General features: G+C 39.5%; 1 protein-coding gene across 20 annotated transcripts in view, besides 1 other annotated feature; it reads left to right on the top strand.

Moving 5' to 3' along the window:
* RC3H1 (ring finger and CCCH-type domains 1) overlaps positions 1-26,759 on the top strand; it is a 91,274-nt gene that overhangs the window by 56,348 nt on the left and 8,167 nt on the right. For 6 of the 20 annotated variants that reach the window (XM_047447095.1, XM_047447093.1, XM_047447094.1 and 3 more), the window contains 10 exons: positions 890-1,171; positions 1,823-2,037; positions 3,915-4,285; positions 4,766-4,933; positions 13,872-14,024; positions 18,428-18,641; positions 19,174-19,264; positions 19,402-19,534; positions 22,422-22,568; positions 24,630-24,745. In XM_047447095.1, coding sequence (XP_047303051.1) covers positions 890-1,171; positions 1,823-2,037; positions 3,915-4,285; positions 4,766-4,933; positions 13,872-14,024; positions 18,428-18,641; positions 19,174-19,264; positions 19,402-19,534; positions 22,422-22,568; positions 24,630-24,745 — 1,890 coding nt within the window. Of the gene's footprint in view, positions 1-889; positions 1,172-1,822; positions 2,038-3,914; positions 4,286-4,765; positions 4,934-13,871; positions 14,025-18,427; positions 18,642-19,173; positions 19,265-19,401; positions 19,535-22,394; positions 22,569-24,629; positions 24,746-26,759 lie in introns of all 20 variants that reach the window. The other 14 variants (XM_047447091.1, XM_047447090.1, NM_172071.4 and 11 more) reach the window with 5 other exon arrangements.
* Positions 18,048-19,247: an enhancer, noted in NCBI's record as "MED14-independent group 3 enhancer chr1:173915901-173917100 (GRCh37/hg19 assembly coordinates)". NCBI's record gives its function as "activates an origin of replication core promoter dependent on BRD2, BRD4, P300/CBP and CDK7 cofactors, and independent of MED14, by STARR-seq in HCT116 cells {active_cell/tissue: HCT116}" and the evidence as "EXISTENCE:reporter gene assay evidence [ECO:0000049][PMID:35650434]".

The raw sequence follows: 26,759 nt of genomic DNA, 5'->3' as shown, positions 1-26,759 counted from the left end.
CCACCACACCCGGTTAAGTTTTTATATTTTTGGTAAAGACAAGGTTTCACCATGTTGCTCAGGCTAGTCTCAAACTCCTGAGCTCAAGTGATTCGCCCGCTTCAGCCTCCCAGAGTGCTGGGATTACTGGTGTGAGCCACAGTGCCTGGCTGCTTAAATTTTTTAACAGAGTAAATGACAAATGTTTCACAGTGCATACTGGCTTTGTTTTTCTTTTATTCCTAATTTTTTAACATTGGCTCATTGTATCCCAAGGCATTTGAGGGAGAGCTGAAGTAAAATATTTCAGAAACTATCTTCTAAAGATTTTTCTACTAGCTTCTCCAATAAGTTTTAGAAATACAAATGTCCACAGAAATATATTATAGCAAAAATATTAATAGCATAATTTATAATATGACAAATGTTACTCTTTTTTTTGAGACAGAATCTCGCTCTGTCGCCAGGCTGGAGTTCAGTGGTGTGATCTCGGCTCACTGCAACCGCTGTCTCCCAGGCTCAAGTGATTCTCCTGCCTTAGTCTCCCTAGTAGTTGGGACCACAGGCACACGCCACCACACCCAGCTAATTTTTGTATTTTTATTAGAGACGGAGCTTCACCATGTTGGCCAGACTGGTCTCGATCTTAACCTCGTGATCCGCCTGCCTCGGCCTCCCAAAGTGCTGGGATTACAGGCATGAGCCACAGCACCCGGCCTATGTTACACATTTTTATGAGGAATTTTATACTTAATATGTCTTGCTGCTAGAGATTTTATGCAAAATATACACACTGATAGAGTTAATGTTTCAAGAGAGAATATTTCTAGAAAATAATATTAAGTACATTTTAGTTCTTGGTTTTGCTTTTATATTTGCTTTTTGATATGTGCCTATGCTTTTTATATAGATTTCGTAAAATGAATAAGCGCCTGGTTCCGAGAAGACCCTTGAGTGCCTCTTTGGGTCAACTTAATGAGGTGGGCCTGCCTTCAGCAGCTATCCTTCCAGATGAAGGTGCAGTGGATCTCCCTAGCAGAAAACCTCCTGCTCTGCCAAATGGAATTGTATCAACAGGGAATACAGTAACACAGCTTATTCCGCGAGGGACAGACCCCAGCTATGATTCTAGTCTGAAACCAGGAAAAATAGATCATCTGAGCAGTAGTGCTCCTGGATCCCCTCCTGACCTGTACGTCATTTTTCTAACTCTTATTTCAAAATTTCTTCTTCATAAAGTCGAAGGAAGATAGAATAATTAATGTTTGGGATTTAAAAAAAAAAAACCCTGATTATTTTTTTTGGCCTTTATTTTGTTGCTTTTTTATTTCCCATGCTAGTGTTTTTTAAGAAACAATTAGCATAGCCAGGCATGGTGGCACATGCCTATAATCCCAGCACTTTGGGAGGCTGAGGTGGACGGGTCACTTGAGGCCAGAAGTTCGAGACCAGCCTGGCCAACATGATGAAACCCATTTCTACTAAAAATACAAAAATTAGCCAGGCATGGTGGCACATGCCTGTAATCCCAGCTACTTGGGAGGCTGAAGCATGAGAATCGCTTGAACCCAGGAGGCGGAGGTTGCAGTAAGCCGAGATTGCACCACTGCACTCCAGCCTGGGTGACAGAGCGACAGAGCAACAGAGCGAGACTCTGTCTCAAAAAAAAAAGAAAAGAAACAATTAACATAGGGGAAATAAGATTTAAAAATTGCAAATTTTGTAGAAGGGAGGACTATTAGAATAAGTGAGTTTCCCAAATTGTAGCAATCTTTTTTACTTGTAACAATTTATGCACATGAGAAGTATTTTTTAAACAACTTCCATAATATTATTCCCTTAGGCTAGAATCTGTTCCTAAGAGTATTTCTGCCTTACCTGTGAATCCACATTCTATACCTCCAAGGGGGCCAGCAGATCTGCCTCCAATGCCTGTTACCAAACCACTTCAGATGGTACCTCGAGGTTCTCAGTTATATCCAGCACAACAGACGGATGTTTATTATCAGGATCCTCGAGGAGCAGCTCCGCCATTTGAACCAGCACCTTATCAGCAGGGTAACGATTTTAAATTTATATTGCTAACTTTTCTTAGGAATTATCAGAACTGTTCTTCAGGTCAGAGTGATCATTTACACAGTAGCCTCTTTAAGATAAGTAAATGTATAAATGCATTTTTTAATACTTTGGAAAAATTGAGATTTTATGATTAACTAAATACTATGAAATAAATGAAACAAAGTAATAAAAATCAAACCGCCATATCTACTAAAAGCAGTTGCATAATACATGTGTTCATATATAATATTTATGGAAATAACAAGTTACACAAGTAGGCAATGGAAATTTGCTGAGTAAGGCAGCATATATTCTCCTGACCAAAATTTTCTTCAAGCATGAAAAAAGAATTAATATTATAGTGTGTGTAAATTAAACACCCACAGTACATTTTTCTTCTTTTAATTATTATTTTTCTGGGCCCTGTAATATATATGAAAAAATGCAGCATACACACCTTTAGAGAGTTTACAGAATAGAATAAATAATGGTAAAGAATAGAAAACTATATGCATGAGTAGTAGATGCATGTGTGTGGTGTTTATGTATGTGTTAAAAATTAAGTGATCTGTTGTGGTTAATATTAGCTTGATAGAGATTGACTGAAAGACTCAAGGGAGATCATTGAGAACTTGAGGAATCAAAAAGACTTAATGGAAGAAATGCCCTAGAGGTATTTGGAATAGAAAAAAAAAAGTTATGAATGGATTGGAAAAATGAGAGTTGAGTTAGGAGGCTGTTAATCCTGGTGTGAGTACTGACGAATTAGTGTGGTGGGAAAGGAGAAGAAGGGATTTCAAAAATAGACAAATTTGAAAATTAGCCAGCTTTAATGATAATACCAGGTATGGAGAATGAAGGAAAGAAAATAAACTAACGTTTTACATATATAGTTTATATGTAAAATAAACACTGAATGATTTTAAGTGTTGGATCTCTCTGTCAGAAGCAGTATAGTACTATAATTTTTAAAATGGGAATAGATTAAAAGTGCTGTCTTCTTTTTCCGAGTCTGTCATTTAATTTTGAATCATGTTGTCTTCTCTACATTCATTCATGAGAATGTTTTTTAATTGATATGGCATTACTAATTCATGCAAAATATGATAAAACGTGATTTGTATCTTCCTTTGACCATCCATTATAGGAAAAAATGCAACTCTTTTTGTAGCCTGTTTTCAATTTTAGGTAAATTATTTTAGCTATATTAAGCAGAAAGAGATTTAGTGCAGGAGTTAGGTGCCTGCCATATTGGTGGAGGTACTAAAGAAGCAAACAGTGCTCCAGAGTTAGCTGCCAAGAGAACTTGTTACAATGAAGAAGCAGTAGAAGTAGAAACTTCTGTCCTAACTGCTTAATTCCAAGATCACGTCATTTGAGGCAAAAGTTGGAAAACTGAGAAACTATTGCCACAACTGTTGTCTCAAGAACTGTAGAGCCAAGCAGTAGCTACTAATCTGCGCCAGCAAAATTGGCCTTTTGTGTTCCATGTCTCCTCCCAGTTATTTCAGTTTCAAATTCAAAACTCATGCAAGTGATTGATTTGTGGAACCTGACTTCAAGGATATCTGGGAAATGTAGTTTTTTTGTTTTCCAGTGTCTTCATTGCATTAAGACACACCAGAAAGAGGGTCAAACAATGAGAGCCAATCTACTATTATAGATTATAAGTAGGGTAGTTTTTTCAATGACTTTTACAGATAATTTTTGCTTATTTTTTAAAAAGCTAACCTGATTATATAAGCAGATGGAAAACTCGTAAAGAAATAAGTAGATTATCAATACTTTAGTGTTTCAGTATTTTAAAAGGTAAAATCTTACATAGAAAACTAAATTGGCTCATTATTTGCTTTTGGGTCCTCTTTTGTATTGTGCAGGTATGTATTATACTCCACCACCACAATGTGTGTCCCGCTTTGTCCGACCTCCACCATCTGCTCCTGAACCTGCTCCTCCCTACTTGGATCATTATCCACCCTACCTCCAAGAACGTGTTGTAAACTCTCAGTATGGCACACAGCCACAGCAGTACCCACCTATATACCCATCTCACTATGATGGCCGTCGAGTGTACCCTGCTCCGTCTTACACAAGAGAAGAGATATTCCGAGAAAGCCCTATACCCATTGAGATTCCACCTGCAGCAGTACCATCGTATGTACCAGAATCCAGAGAAAGATACCAACAGATCGAGAGTTACTATCCAGTGGCTCCTCATCCAACTCAGATCAGACCTTCGTACCTCAGAGTATGCTGTATTTTTTTTTATTACATAGACTTAATTTGACTGTTGCTTGCTGTGATTCCTTACTTTTTATGCAATGACAATAACCCTTTGATGAATTCTTTTTTATAAGAGAGCTTCTTTTTTTTTTAAATCTTTTCATAATTTGGGTATTTTTTTTTTTTAAACTATATAATGAGAAAAAAATCTGCCTCCTCCCCACAATTAACCTTTCTTAGTTTCTGAACTTTAGATGGTTTAATTAACAATTCTAGATCTACTTGGTAATTATGACCAAATAAAAGAAACCTAAATTTAGCTATTTGGAAGATCTTGAGAGTTTGGGGGGTTTTGTTTTACTTTGTTCTGTTAAGTGTTGGTGTTTCCAAATGTTAAGAAGGGTATACAAGCTGTTTCATAACTTAAAATATACGCTGAGTATATTAAATGAATTAATCTGTCCTGAAATTCTCTTTCAATTTTAACTAATCTTTCTATTTTTAGGAACCTCCTTATAGCCGGCTTCCTCCTCCTCCCCAGCCTCATCCTAGTCTAGATGAACTACATCGCCGACGAAAGGAAATAATGGCCCAGCTAGAGGAAAGAAAGGTTATCTCTCCACCTCCTTTTGCACCTTCACCAACCTTGCCTCCTACCTTTCATCCGGAAGAAGTAAGCAAATCATTTTTAGTCTCATTTATCCGTGTTTTTTTGTGTGTGTCCGGTTTAAGTCATCTTTGCCTATTCCCAATGGTGTGAAGATTTTTTTTCCTGTTTTCCTCTGAAAGGTTTTTTATCATTTAACTCTACAATCCATCTAGAACTGATTTTTGTATGTATGTAATGTAATGCATTAGGAGTCAAGATCTTTTTTTTTGTTCCTGTAAGGCACTGACTCGGCACAATTTAATGAAATCAGCATGCTTTCCCTGGTGTCCTGCTTTATCATAATCAGGTGACCACACATGTGTTTCCTGACCCTATTCTTTTCCGTCAGTCTATTTCTATCCTTGAACCGATGCCACATTCTCTTCGTATAGTTTTATAATAAGTCTCAATATGTGGTGGTTATATTTTCTAGTATTGTTATTTTTCAAGAATCAGCACGTTGATTTCCACAAAAATATCTGCTTCAATTTTGATTAGGATTACATCAGATCTGTAAATCTGTGCTGTCCAGTATGGTAGCCACTAGCCACATGTGGCTGTTGAACATGTAATATGTGGCCAGTTTAAGTTCAGATGTACTATAGTCATCAAATACACACTGAATTCAAGGATTTCATACCAAAAATGTAAAATTCATTAATATTTTTGATACATTGGATTAAATAAAATTATTAAAATTAATTTCACCTGTTTTTGTTGTTAATGTGGCCACCAAAATGTTTTAATTTTATATGTGGATCACATATTTCTATTAGACAGTGTTGCTTTATTTTTATTTATTTATTTTTTTGAGACAGAGTCTCACTCTGTCACCCAGGCTGGAGTGCAATGGCGCATTTTTGGTTCACTGCAGCCTCTGCTTCCCAGGTTCAAGCAATTCTCATGCCTCAGCCTCCCAAGTAGCTGGGACTGCAGGTGCACACCACCATTCCTAGCTAATTTTTGTATCTTTTTTTTTTTTTTTTTTTTTTTGAGTCGGAGTCTCATTCTGTTGCCCAGGCCAGAGTACAGTGGTGCAATCTCAACTCACTGCAACCTCCACCTCCTGGGTTCAAATGATTCTCCTGCCCCAGCCTCCTGAGTAACTGAGATTACAGGCACGCACCACCACGCCCGACTATAATTTTTGTATTTTTAGTAGAGACACGGTTTCACCATGTTGGCCAGGCTGGTCTCAAACTGCTAACCTCAGGTGATCCTCCCACCTCAGCTTCCCAAAGTGTTGGGATTACAGGCATGAGACACCACGCCGGGCCTAGACAGTGTTGTCTTAGATCAATATGATGAGAAGTGACAGCTTTCTTTTTTCTGAGACAGAGTGTTGCTCTTTCGCCAGGCTGGAGTGCAGTGGTGCGATCTCAGCTCACTGCAACCACCGCCTCCTGGGTTCAAGTGATTCTCCTATCTCAGCCTCCCAAGTAGCTGGGACTACAGGCATGAGCCACCATGCCCGGCTAATTTTTTGTATTTTAGTAGAGACGGGGTTTCACCATGTTGGCCAAGATGGTCTTGATCTCTTGACCTCAGGTGATCTGCCCGTCTTGGCCTCCCAAAGTGCTGGGATTACAGGCATGAGCCACCGCGCCTGGCTGAGAAGTGACATCTTTCTAATATCAAGTCTCTATGAACATGATATACCCCTTCATTTATTTGGATTTTCTTTATACTTCATACTTCAGTGTCTTGCGCGTCTTACATTGAATTTTATTCCTCGATAACCAATGTTTTTTGAAACTATTTTAAATAGAATTGTTTGGAAATTTTTATTTTCTATTATTAATATAGAGAAATTAAATAGATTTTTATGTATTGACCCTTCTATTCAGCAGGCTTGCTAAATTTCTTTATTAATCATAATAATGTTAGTAGATTCTTTTGAATTTTCTGTGCACACAATTATGTCCTCTGAATAATCTTTTTCCCCTTTTTAATCCTTTTGTTTTGTCTTTGTCTTATTATTTTGGACTCCAGCATAATACTGAATAGAAGTGATGATAACACATATTCTTGACTCCTTTCTAATCTTTGAGTAAATGGAGCTTTTAATAATAATTTACCATTATCATGTTTGCTGTAGGCTTCTTGGTAGAAAATCTTTATCATATTTATGAAGGTTTTCTCTAATCCTAGTTTCAGATTTATTTTAAATAAGAAAGAATATCAAAGATTTATTTAACTCAGTAATGAGGAAACCAGCCAGAAAAGTTGGTTTAATGAATAGGAAAAAACAGGTAAATATAGATAGTGAAAATCAGAAAAAAAAAACAGTCAAATAAGATTGCTCAAAAAAAAAACTGGTTAATGTATCACAGGGCAATAACCATAATTTGGGGAGTCAACTTCTTTGTATTTCTGTATGACAATGCTAGTAGTTATAGTGAATAAGTGTTGTCTTATTATCTTAATGTCTAGATGGTCTACAGTGATGTTCGTTTTTCTATTTCTATATTGGTAATTTTTTTTTGTCAGTCCTGCTAGGGATTTATCAATTTTATTTGTCTTTCAAAAAGCCAACTTTTTTTTTTTTGTTTTGTGAGACAGAGTCTTGCTCTGTCGCCCAGGCTGGAGTGCAGTGGTGCGATCTCGGCTCACTGCAACCTCTGCCTTCTGGGTTCAAGCGATTCTCCTGCCTCAGCCTCCCCCAGTAACTGGTATTATAGGCATGTGCCACCACACCCAGCTAATTTTTTTGTATTTTTAGTAAAGATGGGGTTTCACCATGTTGGCCAGGCTGGTCTCAAACTCCTGACCTCAAATGATCTGCCCGTCTTGGCCTTCCAAAGTGCTGGGATTACAGGCGTGAGCTACTGTGCCCTGCCCAAAAAATCCAACTTTAAAGTAATCGTATTTGTTTTGTTGATTGTACATACTGCTTTAGCTTATAGTTTGTATTTTTTTTTTTAATAATCAAGTAAGGTTTCTCAGGATTACAGTTGATACTATGTAAGGAACTTGTCTTGCATCCTTTATGTATAGAATTATGATTCTAAACATTGCTAACTGACAAATCATGAATAATAAATGAAAATTGAGAAGTACATCACACATAGTAAATAGTATCTTGTTGGGTATATGAAGGAAGTCTACTAAATAGAAGTTGTTCACAATATCTAGTTTTCTCATCTAAACACTTTGGATGAGTTTTCCACAAAAATGTAGGTTATTAGTAAAGTCACAACATCTTCTATTAATGTAGTTTTATTTGTAAAGTAAAAACAGCCAGGTGTGCATTAGCTCACACCTGTAATCCCACACTTTGGGAGGCTGAGGTGGGAAGATTGCTTGAGCCCAGGAGTTCAAGACCAGTCTGAGCAACATAGTGAGACCCCATCCCTACAGATTTAAAAATAAAAATGAGCTAGGTGTGGTGGGACACGCCTACAGTCCCAGCTACTTGGGAGGCTGAGGTGGGAAGATCGAGAGGATCGCTTGAACCTGGGAGGTCCGTGCTATAGTGAGCTATGATTGTGCTACTGCACTCCAGCCTGGGTAACAAAGACCCTGTCTCAGAAAAATTAGAGGGGGGGAAGAAAACAGGTGTGATATTTTTTCAAAAATTCTTTATTAGAGTACACCCTGGAACTTTGTTATGCCATATTGTTTTATAAGAAATATGGAAAACAATATGACATTGTAAAAACTGAGCAGTTTTTGGTATCAAACATTCTAAACTTTGAGGTTCAGTTGTGTCCTTCACTGTGTGATCTTTTTAAAATTACTTAGCCTCCCTGAATCCTGAGGTGCACGTTTCTTCATTTATAAATCAAACATAATAAAGCCTACCTCATAGTGGTGTGGTGAAGATGAAACATAAGGCATCTGGTATGTAGCAGGCATTCAGTAAATAATTCATATTTATTATTGTTATTTTTACTCCTAATAAAAATTATAATAATGTCTGAGTATTAAGGAACATTATCTAGAATCATTTTAGTTACTGAGATGCAAAGACATATATTTAAACCTCAGTTCTGATTATAAACAACCTGAATACAAAAATTAGCCGGGCATGATGGTGGGCGCCTGTAATCCCAGCTACTCGGGAGACTGAGGCAGGAGAATTGCTTGAACCCAGCAGGCGGAGGTTGCAGTGAGCCGAGATCGCACCACTGCACTCCAGCCTGGATGACAGAACAAGACTCGTTCTCAACAAAAATTTAAAAATAAATAAATAAAACAACCTGTGTATAGTTGTACTAAATTCATACATTATAGAAATACATGATATAGAAAGAGAAGTTTCTCGAAAATCTCATTTTCTATAACCATTTATTATGTATTTAAACTTCTTATATATATTTCACCTTCTTTCTGTGCATGAACTAACATCTTTTTAGTAGACACATTATAATTGTACAAGTTTATGGGATACAGAGTGATATTTCTTTCTTTCTTTTTTTTTTTTTTTTTTTAATTTTTTGAGGTGGAGTTTCACTCTTGTTGCCCGGGCTGGAGTGCAATGGCGCGATCTCGGCTCACCGCAAACTCCGCCTCCTGGGTTCAAGTGATTCTTCTGCCTCAGCCACCCGAGGAGCTGGGATTATAGGCATGCACCACCACGCCCAGCTAATTTTGTATTTTTAGTAGAGATGGGGTTTCTCCATGTTGATCAGGCTGGTCTCAAACTCCCGACCTCAGGTGATCCGCCTGCCTTGGCCTCCCAAAGTGATATTTCAATACATATATACAATATGCAATGATGAAAGCAGGGTAATTAGCATATCATCTCAAACATTTATCTTTTATTTATTTTGGGAACATTCAAAATCCTCTCTTCCTTGGACAATTGTGTATGTGATACTCACTGCTGGAAGGTCAAGGTTACAGAAATGCAGGATGCTTCCAGAGAGTTTCAGGTCACCCTTTGACTGGTAGGTAGGTAGCATTTAAGTCATTCAGAACAGTCATCCAAATTTTCTTTTCTTTTTTTTTTCTTTTTTTTTTTTTTTGAGACAGACTCTTGCTCTGTTGCCCAGGCTAGAGTGCAGTGGCACGATCTCGGCTCACTGCAACCTCCACCTCCCAGGTTCAAGTGATTCTCCTGCTTCAGCCTCCTGAGTAGCTGGGATTACAGGCATGCACCACCATGCCAGGCTAATTTTTGTATTTTTAGTAGAGGCAGGGTTTCACCATGTTGGCCAGGCTGGTCTTGATCTCCTAACCTCAGATGATCTAGCCACCTCGGCCTCCCAAAGTGTTGCGATTATAGGCATGAGCCACTGCGCCTGGCCAGTCATCCAACTTTTCTTTGAAGAAGAGAGCAGTGTTACATTTAATTGTAAATTTTTGTATTATGTAACATTGTAGGAATAACATTCTTCCTGTGGGCTAAATAAATATCTCCTTATGATTTTCAGATTTTATTTCAAGGAAAAATGCTGGGTAGATCTACTGTTGTCCTTGCTTTTTGTATCTACAACATTGTTGACATAGTGTTTATCTCAAGATTCCTTTATAAATTGGCCGGGCGCGGTGGCTCACACCTGTAATCCCAGCACTTTGGGAGGCTACAGTGGGCAGATCATGAGGTCAGGAGATCAAGACCATCCTGGCTAACAGTGAAACCCTGTCTCTACGAAAAATACGAAAACAAAACTAGCCGGGCGTGGTGGTGGGCATCTGCGGTCCCAGCTCCTCGGGAGGCTGAGGTGAGAGAATGACGTGAACCTGGGAGGCAGAGCTTGCAGTGAGCCGAGATCGCGCCACTGCACTCCAACCTAGGTGACAGAGCAAGACTCCTTCTCAAAAAAAAAAAAAAAAGCCAACATCTCTTACTGCAAACGTGATGTTGTTGTTGTTGTTGTTGTTGTTGTTGTATGAAGATTGTGGTTTCTCTTTTTTTTTTTTTTTTTTTGTGACAGAGTTTCACACTGTCGTCTGGGCTGGAGTGCAATGGCGTGATCTCGGCTCACTGCAACCTCCGCCTCCCAGGTTCAAGCGATTCTCCCGCCTCAGCCTCCCGAGTAGCTGGGATTACAGGCGCCCGCCACCACGCTTGGCTAATTTTTTGTATTTTTAGTAGGAACAGGGTTTCACCGTGTTAGCCAGGATGGTCTCGATCTCCTGACCTCGTGATCTGCCCGCCTCAGCCTCCCAAAGTGCTGGGATTATAGGTGTGAGCCACCACACCCAGCCTAAGATTGTGGTTTCTTTCTTCCTCAAATCGAAAATCATTTTGTTGATATTCCTTTCTTTTGTCAATCTATCCTAGATACTTTCCATTTTATTTTGACTTTCAAGATCCTAAGTAGAAAATTTTAAATGTTTCTGTTTTCTTAAAAAAGAGACAGGGTCTTGCTGTGTTGCCCAGGCTGGTGGTCTCAAACTCGTGGGCTCAAGCAATCCACCCACCATGCCCCGTCCAAATTTTTTATGTCATTTGTAAATAAGTAAATAAACCTGGATGGAATTGGTCTATAGAAATAATGGATAAAATTGTATATAAAGATCAGTTTATGATGTTAAAAGTTTTCTTCAAAAAAACATAATTTTTTCAAATCAGGAAAAACAATCCTCTCTTCTAGTTTTTAGAAAATATATAGTAAATTATTAACTGTACTCACCCTGCAGTGCTATAGAATGCTAGAAGTAATTCCTCCTGTGTAGCTATAATTTTGTATCTGTTAACCAAGCTCTCTCCCCTTCCCTCCCCCCATTCCCTTTCTAGTCTCTCATAACCACAGTTCCACTCTCTACTTCTGTGACTCAACTTTTTAGCTCCCACATTGAGTGAGAACATGAAATATTTGTCTTTCTGTGCCTGACCAATTTCACTTAATGTGATGTCCTCTAGGCTCATCTATGTTGCTGCAAATGACAGGATTTATTTTTTTATGTCTGAATAGTATTTCATTGTATATATACCACATTTTCTTTATCAATTCATCTGTTGCTGGATACCTAGGTTGATTCCATATCTTGGCTATTGGGAATAAAACATGAGAGTGCAGATATCCCTTCATATACTGATTTCTTTTCCTTTGAATGAATGCCCAGTAGTGGGATTGTTGGATCTCTGTATTATTATTATTATTATTATTTGAGATGGAGTCTCACTCTGTTGCCCAGGCTGGAGTGCAGTGGCATGAACTTGGCTCCCTGCAACCTCCGCCTCCCAGGTTCAAGCAATTTTCCTGCCTCAACCTCTCGAGTAGCTGGGACTACAGTCATGCACCAACACGCCCAGCTAATTTTTGTATTTTTAGTAGAGATAGGGTTTCACCACCTTGGCCAGGCTGGTCTTGAACTCCCGACCTCAGGTGGTCTGCCCGCCTCGACCTCCCAAAGTGCTGGGATTGCAGGCGTGAGCCACCTTGCCCAGCCTCATTATTATTTTTTAATAGGATCATTTAGTAAATACATCTTGGTTTTATGTCTGTCTTGCCTTTGTTTTTGTTTTTACCTAATCCATTCTCCTGGCCGTCTTTGTATGTCAGTATATAAATTTATCTCATTCATTTAAATAGCTACATATAATACACTACAGAGATTTAAAAAAGGAGCACTCTTGGCCAGGCATGGTAGCTCACGCCAGTAATCCCAGCACTTTGGGAGGCTGAGGTGGGTGGATCACCTGAGGTCAGGTGTTCCAGACCAGCCTGGCCAACATGGTGAAACCCCTTCTCTACTAAAAATACAAAATTAGCTGGGTGTAGAGGTATGCACCTGTAATCCCAGATACCTGGGAGGCTGAGTCAGGAGAATGGCTTGAACCTGGGAGGCAGAGGTTGCGTGAGCAGAGATCATGCCACTGCACTTCAGCCTGGGTGACAGAGCGAGACACCATCTCAAAAAAAAGGAGCACTGTAATTGGTAGGTCATGTGGTTTAAAAGTTGGCTGTTCTATCTAAAGTTAGTAAGTAGAAGAAAAATAAAAAAGGATAAAAATTTTTTAAATAGTAGTAGGACAAAGAAAAGGGAAGAGGTTATGAATAATAGAGACAGAAGAGTGATTGACAATGAGTGATATTAGTGAGCAGCAGACCCTATGTCAATGCAGAAGGCCAATAATGATGACTCAGAAAAGAGATGTTTTTAGTATAGCGGGAGGCATAGATCCACTTAAATGAACCAATACAAATGAACACTGATACCCCTAGATATCAGTGTATGTATGTCTTGTGATAAAATGAAAGAAACATTAAAGTTATAGTCCTAGCACTGCCCTATACTGGTATAGCCTTGGTCATATCATCTGTGTTGTCTATCATGGATTTAGGAGCTTATTAGGTAGTATACATGAAAACACTTTGAAAATGTAAAACATTTTATAAATGTGAATGTTGCAATTTTAGTGAAAATACATTAGCCTTAGAATAGCTATTCTGTTATTAGACTGGAGAACTTACCTTGAGAAGATAAAAATTAGACATCCTTTTCATCTCATTGAATCAACCTAAGGAACAGAATTTATTCAAGATATGAATTATTGCTATTAAAGAGATTTCAGTAAAAAGTTACTACATCATCATGTACTATAAAAATCAAAATTTTTAATGTTCTTGTTTACCTTGATTTTATTGAAAGAAACGTTGAGGAGGGTCTAGCAAAACTATGGCTTGGTACATATATGCTTAAATGTTTACTGATCTAATGAAGAAAAGGATGAGCAAACCCATAAAATCCTAGTTTGATTCCTGGAAGGATATTGAAATACCTTTTTTTTTTTTTTTTTTTTACCTTCTGCTAAGGTAAAAAAAAAAAACAAAAAAAAAAAACCTGAAAGCTAAAAATCACTCTTCACTTATTTTATATTTTTCATAGTAGTTTACAAAAATCTTCTATTGTGGCACTTAAAAATCAAATAATCATCATTATGTTGCTTCAGCACGATGTTCTAAGAAATTCCCTGCTTTCTCTGTCTTGTTACTCATAGACCCATTTCCTGTTTTGTTTCTTTCTCTTTTTTTTTTTTTTGTTTTTTTTCTTTCTCCATCTGTAGTTTTTGGATGAAGACTTGAAGGTAGCTGGGAAATACAAAGGAAATGATTATAGCCAATACTCTCCCTGGTCATGTGACACCATCGGCTCCTACATTGGAACCAAAGATGCAAAACCCAAAGATGTTGTGGCAGCAGGGAGTGTGGAAATGATGGTATGTGTAATAGCTAAGCAATAATTAATACAAATTAAGATAAACCAAATAAATTTTTACCCATTACCATTTAGGCACAAATAATTCAGCTTTGCTTAAGAGTTTCAGACCATATTCTATACTCTGCAGTTGAGTTATCTTTAAACAGTATAGGTTTTTGATTCATTTAGGTGTAAATAAAAATATTTTAATACTTACCGAGACAGAGCATTTATTATATTTCTGTGCAAATAGCAATTTCTCAACAATTGTTTATAACCCAGATTAAATTATTTTACATAATTAATTAAGATCTTGGACTTCTTCACCAAATAAGTTAAAATTCTTTGTCACGGAGAATGGCATGAACCCGGGAGGCCAGAGCGTGCAGTGAGCCAAGATCGTGCCACTGCACTCCAGCCTGGGTGACAAAGCGAGACTCCGTCTCAAAAAAAAAAAATTTTTTTTTCACAGCTCTGAAGTTTAAATAACAAAGTTGAATCTAGTGAACAAAAGTAGTATTTGAGTCAGAATTATAGCTGCTCAGCTTCAAGTGAATGCTGAGATACTGAAATTTAATACTTGGGTTATTTTATTCTTTAGTGAAAAATCATGTAACACCAGTGTTTCTAATAACCAAGTTGAAAATATTATCAAAATCTTATCTCTTTTTTTGGGGGGGGGATGGAGTTTCACTCTTGTTGCCCAGGCTGGAGTTCAATGGCGCGATCTCGGCTCACCACAACCTCCACTTCCCAGGTTCAAGTGATACTCCTGCCTCAGCCTCCCGAGTAGCTGGGATTAGAGGCATGCGCCACCACGGCCAGCTAATTTTATATTTTTTAGTAGAGATGGGGTTTCTCCATGTTGGTCAGGCTGGTCTTGAACTCCCGACCTCAAGTGATCCACCCGCCTCGGCCTTCCAAAGTGCTGGGATTACAGGCGTGAGCCACCGTGCCTGGCTTCATCTTATCTCTTTTTATAGAGATAGGATCGATCTTTGTCACCCAGGGTGTAGTGCAGTAACATGATTATGGTTCACTGTAACCTCAAACTCCTGAACTCAGGTGATCCTCCTGAGTACCTAAGACTACAGGTGCTTGCTACCACACCCAGCTAATTTTTTTAAAAAAATGTTGTAGAGATGGGGTCTTGCTATGTTTCCAGACTGATCTTAAACTCCTGGCCTCAAGTGATCCTCCCGCCTCTCCCTCCCAAAATGCTGGGATTACAGGCATGAGCTACCCTACCTGGATAGTATCTTAATTCCCTTTTTATTTTTTAAAGAAATAAAATTTTCAAGAAGTAGTTATATCCCCCTGTATAAATCCCCCAAGTCTCATTTTTCTCCCTGTTTCATTCCCTCTAAGTAATCTCTATCCTGAGTTTAGTATTTATCATTTTCATGGATAATTTTATTTCCCCTAAGACAGGATCTCCCTCATGCTGGAGTACAGTGTCACAATCACAGCTCACTGCAGCCTCACACTCCTGGACTCAAGTGATCCTCCCACCTCACCCTCCCAAGTAGCTGGGACACAGATGTGTGATACTATGCTCAGCTCTTTTTTTTTTTTTTTTTTTTTGGTAGAGATGAGGTCTTGCTATGTTGCCTGGGTAGGACAGGCTGGTCCTGAACTCCTGGGCTCAAGCGATTCTCCTGCTTCTGAAAGTGCTGTAGTTACAGATGTGTGCCAGTATGCCTGGCCATGGATAATTTTATACTATTCCTAAACAATATTGTTTTATATGTTTATAGACCTTATGTAAATTGTACACTTCAGCTTGCATTTTCATGTTTTCACTTAGCATTGCTTTTAAGATGTGTACTTTTTTTTTGAGACGGAGTTCCACTCTGTACCCAGGCTGGAGTGCAGTGGCATGATCTCAGCTCACTACAACCTCTGCATTCTGGGTTCAAGTGATTCTCCTGCCTCAGCCTCCCGAGGAGCTGGGACTACAGGCACATACCACCATGCCCGGCTAATTTTTTTGTATTTTTAGTAGAGATGGAGTTTCACCATATTGGTCAGGCTCGTCTCGAACTCCTGACTTCAGGTGCTCTGCCCTCCTCGGCCTCCCAAAGTGCTGGGATTACAGGTGTGAGCCACCACGCCCAGTCTGTATTTATATCTGTAGCTCAGGATTATTGATTTTAGCTGCTTTTACGAGATATTCTGTGTAACTGATACCATACAATGATTATTTTTTGTATTGGTGGACATTTAGGCTATTTCTGATCTTTCACTGTTAGGTATGGTACTCCAACAAACATTCTTCAAACATTCTTATGTATGTCTTCACGTGTGTGAAAGTTACACTTAGAAATGGTATTGCTGGCTGGGTACTGTGGCTCATACCTATAATCCCAGCACTTTCAGAGGCCAAGGCAGGCGGATCACTTGAGGTCAGGAGTTTGAGACCAGCCTGGGCAACATGGCGAAACCTCATCTCTACTAAATACACAAAAATTAGCTGGGCATGGTAGCAGGAGCCTGTAATCCCAGGTACTTGGGAGGTTGAGGCAGGAGAATTGCTTGAACCTGGGAGGCAGAGGTTGCAGTGAACCGAGATTGCGCCACTGCACTCCAGCCTAGACAACAGAGTGAGACTCCATCTCAGAAAAAAAAAAAAAGAAATGGTATTGCTGAAAGGTATGCCTTCACTATTATTCTTAACCCATTTGTCCTTATTAACTCTAACAGAGGTTTCCTAGGTTATTATATAGATTTTCATAGATAAATACTTTTCCAGGTGGTTAAGAAAAGACCAATATTTGCAATAAAAAAAGATTTGGATGCTGATAACCACTGTAAATGAGTGAAGTGATATCTAATAGCATAAATACAATTATATGCCAGCCCCACCCCCCCCCCCAAAAAAATAGAGAGTTTTAGAGGAAGAAAAAGCAAAATAAAATTTTTTTTTTTGCAGTAGAATTACAGAAGCATTGTTTTTAGGCTGTAGTAAGGCTCTTATTGGAACGAAATGAGGGGAAATTAGGCAGGAATCTTTGCCTTGTACTTGGCTTTCAAAAGGAAAGGGTTATTATATTAAAGTAACACGAGTATTAGCAAAATAAAACTCATTTTCTTAAATCAGTAAAGAATTAAAAAGTTTGGGCCAGGCATGGTGACTCAAACCTGTAACCCCAGCACTTTGGGAGGCCAAGGTGGGAGGATTGTTTGAGCCCAGGAGTTCAAGACCAGCCTGGGCAACATAGCAAGACCCCATCTCTTCAAAAATTTTTTTAATTAGCCAGGTGTGGTGGTGCACGCCGGTCCCAGCTACTTGAGAAGCTGAGGCAGGAGGATCGCTTGAGCCCAGGAGGTTGAGGCTCACACATCACTGCAGTCCAACCTGGTGACAGCAGAACCCTGTCTCAAAAACAAACAAACAAAAAGTTGCAATCCAATCTAGAGGTAATTGAAAACCTCCCAAATAGGTGAAAGAAGTCTAACCTAGTATTTCTCAAATGTTAATGTGCATACAAACTATATATTTGTGTGTCTATATATATGTGTAACATTATATAGGGATAAATATATATTTGTATGCATATATATATACTAGGTCATTATATATATATATATATTTCTTCAAGATTGAATTGGCTTTTATTAGTGATTGATTAATCAGGAAGCATTTCATCTGTGAAATAGAAAGATGCTCTAATGAGCTAAACAGAGAAAAGGAACAAAACTCAGATTAGTTGTTTCAAAGTTATTTTCCTTATAGGACTAAAGCAGAAGGGACTTACCAGTTCAAATTGAGTGGTCCTCTTATGATTGATTGCTGTGAATCTCCTGTTTTTTGGAAAACTGGCCCATTTTCAAGTTCAGTTTGATTTTGTGGCATCTAGCATAAGTGATTACATTCTGCTTTGATCTGGTGTCTTGGGGCTTAGTGCGGGAGCTTAGTCCAAAACAGTGGCCTCCCATAAATTTTAAAAATATATTTCTTAGGCCAGGTGCAGTGGCTTATACCTGTAATCCCAGCACTTTGGGAGGCTGAGCTTGAGGCAAGCTAAGCCCAGGAGTTTGAGACCAGCCTGGTCAACATAGGGAGACCTCATCTCTATAAATAATCAAAAAAAATTAGCTGGGTGTGCTGGTACATGCCTGTAGTCCCAGCTACCTAGGAGGCTGAGGTGGGAGGATCACTGGAGCCCAGGAGGTTGAGGATGCAGTGAGCCATGAGAGTGCCCCTACGTTCCAGCCTGGGCCACGGTGTGAGACCCTGTCGCCCCTCACCTCAGAGGTTTAAAAACCAGTGTTACATAAAAACAACCAAAGGTAACTAATGATTTTAGTCTTACCAGTAAGAGTGCTGTACTCTTCTTTAACCTTATTACAGATCTAGAAAAAATTAGGTTACAGAGCGATCTGAGTGTGGGGTAATTTCTCATTTTGCTTTTTTATCAGAATGTGGAGAGTAAAGGAATGAGGGACCAGCGATTAGATCTTCAGAGAAGAGCAGCAGAAACCAGTGATGATGACCTCATCCCATTTGGAGACCGACCAACAGTGTCTCGGTTTGGTGCCATCTCACGAACTTCCAAAACTATATATCAGGGTGCTGGTCCAATGCAGGCTATGGCACCTCAGGGAGCTCCTACAAAATCTATTAACATTTCAGGTAAGAATCTCAGAGGTAAGCTGACCTAAAGGGTTCATAATCTTGACTTTCAGCATTACCCCTGCTCTCCATTTACTATCAGTGTTTTTAGTAATCTTGCAAGGCAGTAATTTTCAAACTTTCCATGGAATCATCCCTGTAAGAAAGGTAATATAACCCAGAGAATTTTAGGTATATAAACTGAAATTAAATGTCTATATGTGAAGCTTTCCTAATGTTTCTTCCCCACTCCACCCCCACCCCAAATAGCTTAATTGTTATTTGGGGGAATAACATTCTCATTATACAGTAATTTGGAAGAAAAACTACAAAGACTGAAAGTTCATTGGGGAAGAAACAAACATATATCAGCACCCAGCATCATGCTGCCTGATATTTAGAAAAACAAAGTTAAAGAATTTTAAAAATCTGGACATTTAGGGTAGATACCAGATACCTGTGTATGCAATACGCTGATGTCTTTCAGATTATGAATACCTTAAAAGAAGAATCAAATCTGTGAATTATACCATAATAAATCATTCTCTTACAGATTATAGTCCATATGGAACCCACGGTGGCTGGGGAGCTTCTCCATATTCACCTCATCAAAACATACCTTCTCAGGGACACTTCAGTGAGAGGTATGAGTCATTCTTTTTACTTGAACAAACATGTAGAAACCTTTAAAATTAGGCAACTTCTTTTTGTTTTTCTGGTCAGTAATATGTTAACAAAATGAAATGTTAAAATTTGATTCACACTTTCTTTCTAACCAAAGGGAGAGAATATCTATGTCAGAAGTGGCCAGTCATGGAAAACCCCTTCCATCTGCTGAGAGAGAACAGCTACGACTAGAATTGCAGCAATTGAACCATCAGATTAGCCAGCAGACCCAGCTACGTGGACTAGAGGTACCAGCCTAGAGAGCCATTTTATTCCAATTTTTGAAGGGTTCTCAGAGATTTTAAATAGGAACTTTTGAGGCACTGTGAACAAAAAACTTTAAGGTCTATTTCTTAGGAGTTAGTATAGGTTTCTATTCTTCAAAGAATTCAATACTGGATTTAGCTCTGGGACAACAGAAAACGTAAAATTTCTGCTACCTAAAAATAGAAAACAGATTACGTAAAATTTCCCAACAGGAGCTTATATTCCCTGATGGCACATTTAAGGTTTTTTTTGTTTGTTTGTTTGTTTGTTTGTTTTGGTTTTCTTTTTTTGAGACAGTATTGCTCTGTTGCCCAGGCTGGAGTGAGGTGGCGTGATCTCAACTCACTGCAACCTCCACCTCCTGGGTTCATGCAATTCTCCTGCCTCAGCCTCCTGAGTGGTTGGGGTTATAGATGTACACCACCATACTCAGCGAATTTTTTGTATTTTTAGTAGAGATAGGGTTTCACCCCTGTAATCCCAGCACTTTGGGAGGCCGAGGCAAGTGGATCACAAGATCAGGAGTTTGAGAACAGTCTGGCCAACATAGTGAAACCCCGTGTCTACTAAAAATACAAAAAATTAGCCGGGCATGGTGGTGTGCACCTGTAATCCCAGCTAATCAGGAGGCTGAGGCAGGAGAATCGTGTGAACCCAGGAAGCAGAGGTTGCAGTGAGCCAAGATTGCGCCATTGCACTCCAGCCCAGGCTACAGTGTGAGACTCCGTCTCAAAAAAAAAAACAGAACTTTGACTTAAAAAGTAAAACATAGTTCCGGTGTAATAAGAATAATAACACTTTTCATTTACGTAGTTCTGTACCATTTAAAAATCACTACCACTTATCTTATTTGACCCTTAGAATATCCCTGATATTTTAGGCAGGTGGTATTGTCCTCCTTTTTTGATTGAAGTATATGAGTTTCTCAGAAGTTGAAACACGAACCCAAGTCTTCATACTCCAGATTCAGTGTTCTTTCCATCATGCTGCCTGACACTTAGAAAAACAAAACTAAAGAATTTTTAAAATCTGGCTGGACGTGGTGGTTCATGCTTGTAATCCCAGCACTTTGGGAGGCCAGAGCAGATGGATTGCTTGAGCTCAGGAGTTTGAGACCAGCCTGGGCAACATGGCAAAATCCCTTCACTACAAAAAGTGCAAAAATTGGCCAGGCATGGTAGTGCACGCCTGTAGTCTCAGCTACTCAGGAGGCTGAAGGCAGGAGGATCACCTGAGCCCAGGGAGGTTGAGGCTGCAGTGAGCCCTGATGGTGCCACTGCACTCCAGCCTGAGTGACAGAGTGAGACTCTGTCTCAAAAAAAAAAAAAAAAGGAATTTTTAAAATCTTTTAAGTGCCACATAAGGAAGACTAGGTTTTGTTTATACATCATCCTTTACGTTGGAACATATTCTTTGAATATGGAAAACTGAAGACATTCTAATGATAAATATATTGTCCTTTCTGGAGGAAAAAATGGTACTGTTAGAACATTAGTCTGTCTTTCTACCATAATCTTTAATAATAAGTAAGCCATCACTTTAGGGGGGAAAAAAAGTTATAAGACAGACTTTCTTAGTAGACTTTCTTTTTAGGAAGACCAGTAGGAGATTGTTTTTGGAACATATAGCTGGCTTGTGCCCCTATGTACGCAATTAGATTTAGGAATTTTAAAAATCTATGTAATACTTAGATTTTGTCTGCTTTCGCCATTGCTTATTTACATTGATTCAGAACGTCTTGCCGATTCCTGTCATAGAAACAGAATGCCATGTTTGCTTATGGCAATCTTTCGTTCATTAACTTTTTAAAGATTCAGACCTTCAACCCAATAAGGCATTACTCCATATCTTCAAATGCATGGTTTTTTGTTTGTTTGTTTGTTTGTTTTATATACTTTAAGTTCTAGGGTACATGTGCACAACGTGCAGGTTTGTTACATGTGGTATACATGTGCCATGTTGGTGTGCTGCACCCATTAACTCGTCATTTACATTAGGTATATCTCCTAATGCTATCCCTCCGCTTTCCCCCCACCACATGCATGATTTTTTGTTTTAAAGTTTCCAGGAGCATTTTCTGTCCAAAAAGACTATCAGTATTATTTAGAAACTTGCCACATATTTAACTCAGTACAGTTAAAAGTCCTTGCCATTACTGAGGTTTCATTGAAATAAGTTATAGGATTTACTTCAGAGAAAATTACCATTAAAAACAGAGGGGGAAAGATGCACATCTGTAGTTGACTTGTTTTTCTTCCATTTCCTTTTTTTTTTTTTTTTTTGAGAGACAAAGTCTCACTCTGTTGCCCAGGCTGGAGTGCATGGAGTGCAGTGGCATGATCATAGCAGCTCGCTGTAATCTTAAACTCCTGGGCTCAAGTGATCCTCCCTAGTAGCTAGGACTACGGGCCCACACCACCATCCCAGGCTAATTTTTTGGTTTTTTTATTTTTTATTTTTTGTAGAGGCGAGGTCTTGATATATTGCCCAGGTGGATCTCAAATTCCTGGCCTCAAGTGATCCTCCCACCTCAGCTTCCCAAAGTGCTAGAATTAAAGGCACAAGCCACCATGCGTAGCCAACTTCTCTTTCAAATCAGAAAATACAAGGAGCAATTTATACATAAGATGAAATTACTGTTTACTAAATTTAAATGTCCCTATTTTGTTATTTTTTTGTTTGAATGGTACTCAAAGAGAACAGCACCTTACAGTTGCATTATTTTGTTGCAAATGGCTGGGTGATAAGCTACTCAAGGCTGTGGTCTGGAATTGAGCCTGGTTATTCTGTGCATGGTGTGAAGTGTGTTGAGTTTTCTGTGTGCTTGGCTTTATGCACTAGGCTGTTAGTAACAGGCTGGTGTTGCAGAGGGAGGCAAACACCCTGGCAGGCCAGTCACAGCCCCCACCACCGCCACCTCCAAAATGGCCTGGGATGATCTCAAGTGAGCAGTTGAGCTTGGAACTGCACCAGGTGGAAAGGGAAATCGGGAAGAGAACACGGGAACTGAGTATGGTGAGTGTTATGGTGGGGAAAGAGAGGGAAGGTGAAATGAAATCTTTCATGTGGCTCTAGAATTATCTAGAGGCACAGAATCATCACTTCAAGGCACTCTGATGAGTGGTTAATATTTAAAATAATTCTCATGCAGGTGGGCTACCTTCCGATTTTATCATTCCCTTCCTCATTCTCTTGGTTTGGGTGTGTTCTTTGTCTTATAATTCTTCGTTAACTTTTAGGGAAAACAAGGTTTTAATGCTTCTGTAATTTAAGAACTTAATGGAAGTCTTAAATTTCTGTTTAGCATACTGATTAGGGAAGCAAATAGGATGGTGTTTACTATTTTGCAATGACAACATGTTATATAAAGATGTATTCACCAAATAACATTCTAGTTTCATAGCCTTTATAATGATGACCTATTTTTGCTATGAGTGATATGCAATCTGCACATTGTTTCCTGTATCCATTATGTATGCTTAGGAAAAACTATATCCATTAATATGCTTAGGATTTGCTTCATAGTGCACAGACATTCATTTTAGTAAATTTTGAATCTTAGGGGCTTCCTCAGGTTGCATGATATGATTTTTTTTGTTGCTTAGTTTTCATAATCTTTCTTTTTTTTTTTGAGGCGGAGTCTCTGTCGCCCAGGCTGGAGTGCAGTGGTGCGATCTCGGCTCATTGCAAGCTCTGCCTCCCGGGTTCACGCCATTCTCCTACCTCAGCCTCCCAAGTAGCTGGGACTAGGCGCCTGCCACCTCGCCTGGCTAATTTTTTGTATTTTTAGTAGAGACGGGGTTTCACCGTGTTAGCCAGGATGGTCTCGATCTCCTGACCTCGTGATCCGCCCGCCTCAGCCTCCCAAAGTGCTGGGATTACAGGTGTGAGCCACCACGCCCAGCCAGTTTTCATAATCTTTCTAAGCAAATAAATTGAGCATGCAGGTTTTTTTTGCTTTCAGTAAGTATGTTAAAGATATTTATTGTACTTTGGTTTTCTTTTCTTTTTTTTTTTTTTTTTTTTTTGAGACTGAGTCTCTGTCACCCAGGGTGGAGGGCAGTGGCCCAACCTCAGCTCACTGCAACCTCCGCCTCCCATGTTCCAGTGATTCTCCTGCCTCAGTCTCCCGAGTAGCTGGGATTACAGGTGCCTGCCACCACACCAGGGTAGTTTTTGTTTTGTATTTTATTTTTTTTTTAGTTTTTTTTTTTTGAGGCGGAGTCTCGCACTATTGCCCAGGCTGGTGTGCAGTGGCACGATCTCAGCTCGCTGCAACCTCTGCCTCCTGGGTTCAAGTGATTCTTCTGCCTCAGCCTCCCAAGTAGCCAGGATTACAGGCACCTGCCACCACACCCAGCCAATTTTTTTTATATTTTTAGTAGAGACGGGGTTTCGCCTTGTTGGCCAGGCTGATCTCAAACTCCTGACCTCGGGTGATACGCCCACCTCAGCCTCCCAAAGTGCTGGGATTACTGGTGTGAGCCACCATGCCTAGCCTTTTTTTTTTTTTTTTCCTTTTTTTGAGAGGGAGTCTCACTCTGTCACCCAGGTGGGGAGTGCAGTGGTGCAATCTCAGCTCACTGCAACCTCCGTCTTCTGGGTTCAAGTGATTCTCCCCCTCAGCCTCTTGAGTAGCTGGGATTACAGGCGTGTGCCACCACGCCCAGCTGATTTTTGTATTTTTAGTAGAGACGGGGTTTCGCCATGTTGGCCAGGCTGGTCTCAAACTGACCTCAGCAGTCCACCTGCCTCAGCCCCCTAAACTGCTGGTATTACAGGCGTGAGCCGCCATGCCTGGCCGCCTTTCTAGGTCATTGTTTTTTTCTGAGAAATTTTTTTTCATGTTAGCTTGAGGCATTGTCTGTCTTATTGTCCAGCTTGGTTAGTGAGCAAGTGGATTGTATTCTGTTATGTTTTTATGTATGTCACTCTTTTAGTCTGCCAGTTTCTTTGGTTATTTTACAAAATTGAATATGATTTCTGGATCATCACTTTGTATTATCTGTAATTTGGTCTCTCCCATTAACACCATTAAATAGATGATAACTGATTTTATTTCCTTCTCTTTCAAAGGAAAACCAGTGTTCTCTGGACATGAAAAGCAAACTGAATACAAGTAAACAAGCAGAAAATGGACAACCAGAACCACAAAACAAGGTTCCGGCTGAGGACCTTACATTGACATTCAGGTAAAGAAAAGGAGATTGTCGTAGCCATATTAAATTACACACAAAAGAGAAACTAATATATTATCCAGTCATATCAGAAATACCCTCATAAATATAATTTGATTCTTAAAATATCATTATTCTGTGTACATAAAGAATATTTTTGCGGCCGGGCGCAGTGGCTCACGCCTGTAATCCAGCATTTTGGGAAGCCGAGGTGGGCAGATCACGAGGTCAAGAGATGGAGACCATCCTGGCCAGCATGGTGAAACCCCGTCTCTACTAAAAATACAAAGATTAGTTTGGTGTGGTGGCATGTGCCTGTAGTCCCAGCTACTCGGGAGGCTGAGGCAGGAGGATCACTTGAACCTGGGAGGAGGAGGTTGCAGTGAGCCAAGATCGTGCCACTGTACTCCAGCCTGGCAGCAGAGTGAGACACGGTCTCAAAAAAAAAAAAAGAATATTTTTGCATAAATCTGGAGTTACAAAACTTAGATCCAAGGTTGAATTATCTGTTAATACCTAACAAAGGAAAATTTCTGGTTATGTTTCCATCTTCCCCTTGTTTTTAAATTTATTTCGAATACAGCCTTATATCTTTACATTATAAAAATACTATATGCTCAATGTAAAAAAAAAGAAAAAACAAAAAATAAAGTCACTCCCCCATCTTAAATATATTATAAAAAATTAGCTTTAGGAAATGGAAAATTTTAGAAAAGGGCAAATTTTAAAATTGCCTGTAATTCCAATATTCAGAGATAACTCTTGTTAACATTTTGGTGTATTATATTATCTTTCCAGTTTTTTTTTTGAGACGGAGCTTCACTCTTGTTGCCCAGGCTGGAGTGCAATGGCACGATCTCGGCTCACGGCAACCTCCGCCTCCTGGGTTCAAGCGATTCTCCTGCCTTAGCCTCTCGAGTAGCTGGGATTATAGGCATGCACCACCATGCCTGGCTAATTTTGTATTTTTAGTAGAGACAGGGTTTCTCCATGTTGGTCAGGCTGGTCTGAAACTCCCGACCTCAGGTGATCCACCTGCCTCGGCCTCCCAAAGTGCTGGGATTACAGGTATGAGCCACCGCACCCGGCTCTTTCCAGTCTTTTTAAAGTGTGTGGGCATTTAGCCTCTTGCTAGTTTTACAAACCCAGCACTCCATCTCCCTGGTTTTTAATTCAGTCTATCCTATATCATCCAGTATTATTCTGTAGATACGGAAAGATACATATCAACTACCATGAACAACCCTACAATAAACAGTATTACAATTAATGCTTTGTTTGCATATCTTAAATTATTTTCTAAGGCTATTTTGAGGCTTTTGAATGCATAGTCCTAAGTTGCCCCCCTGATGATATATAACAAAAATTTCTAATGCTTTCAGACTTGGATTTTGACTGTTTTTTTAATTCATGCACTATCTTGGATTCTTTTTTATTTTTTTTTTGAGATGGAGTCTCACTCCGTCACCCAGGCTGGAGTGCAATGGCATGATCTCGGCTCACTGCAACTTCCGCCTCCTGGATTTAAGTGATTCTCCTGCCTCAGCCTCCCGAGTAGCTGGGACTACAGGCGCGTGCCACCACACCCGGCTAGTTTTTGCATTTTTAATAGAGACGGGGTTTCAGTGTCTTAGCCAGGCTGGTTTCAAACTCCTGACCTCATGATCCACCCGCCTCGGCCTCCCAAAGTGCTGGGATTACAGGCATGAGCCACCATGCCTGGCTTTTTTTTTTTTTTTTTTTTTTTTTTTGATAAAATCTCATTCTGTCACCCAGGCTGGAGTGTAGTGGTGCGATCTTGGCTCAGTGAAACCTCTGCCTCTCAGGTTCAAGTGATTCTTGTGCCTCTGCCTCCCTAGTAGGTTTTTACAGGCACACACCACCAGGCTAATTTTTGTATTTTTAGTAGAGACAGGGTTTCACCATGTTGGCCAGGCTGATCTCCAACTCCTGAGCTCAAGTGATCCACCTGCCTTGGCCTCCGAAAGTGCTGGGATTATAGGCATGAGCTCAAAATTATTTCTTGTAG

Source organism: Homo sapiens, chromosome 1 (assembly GCF_000001405.40).
Source record: "Homo sapiens chromosome 1, GRCh38.p14 Primary Assembly".
Classification (NCBI taxonomy): domain Eukaryota; kingdom Metazoa; phylum Chordata; class Mammalia; order Primates; family Hominidae; genus Homo; species Homo sapiens.
Note: the sequence above shows the minus strand (reverse complement) of the source record. Positions and strands in the feature narration are given on the sequence as shown.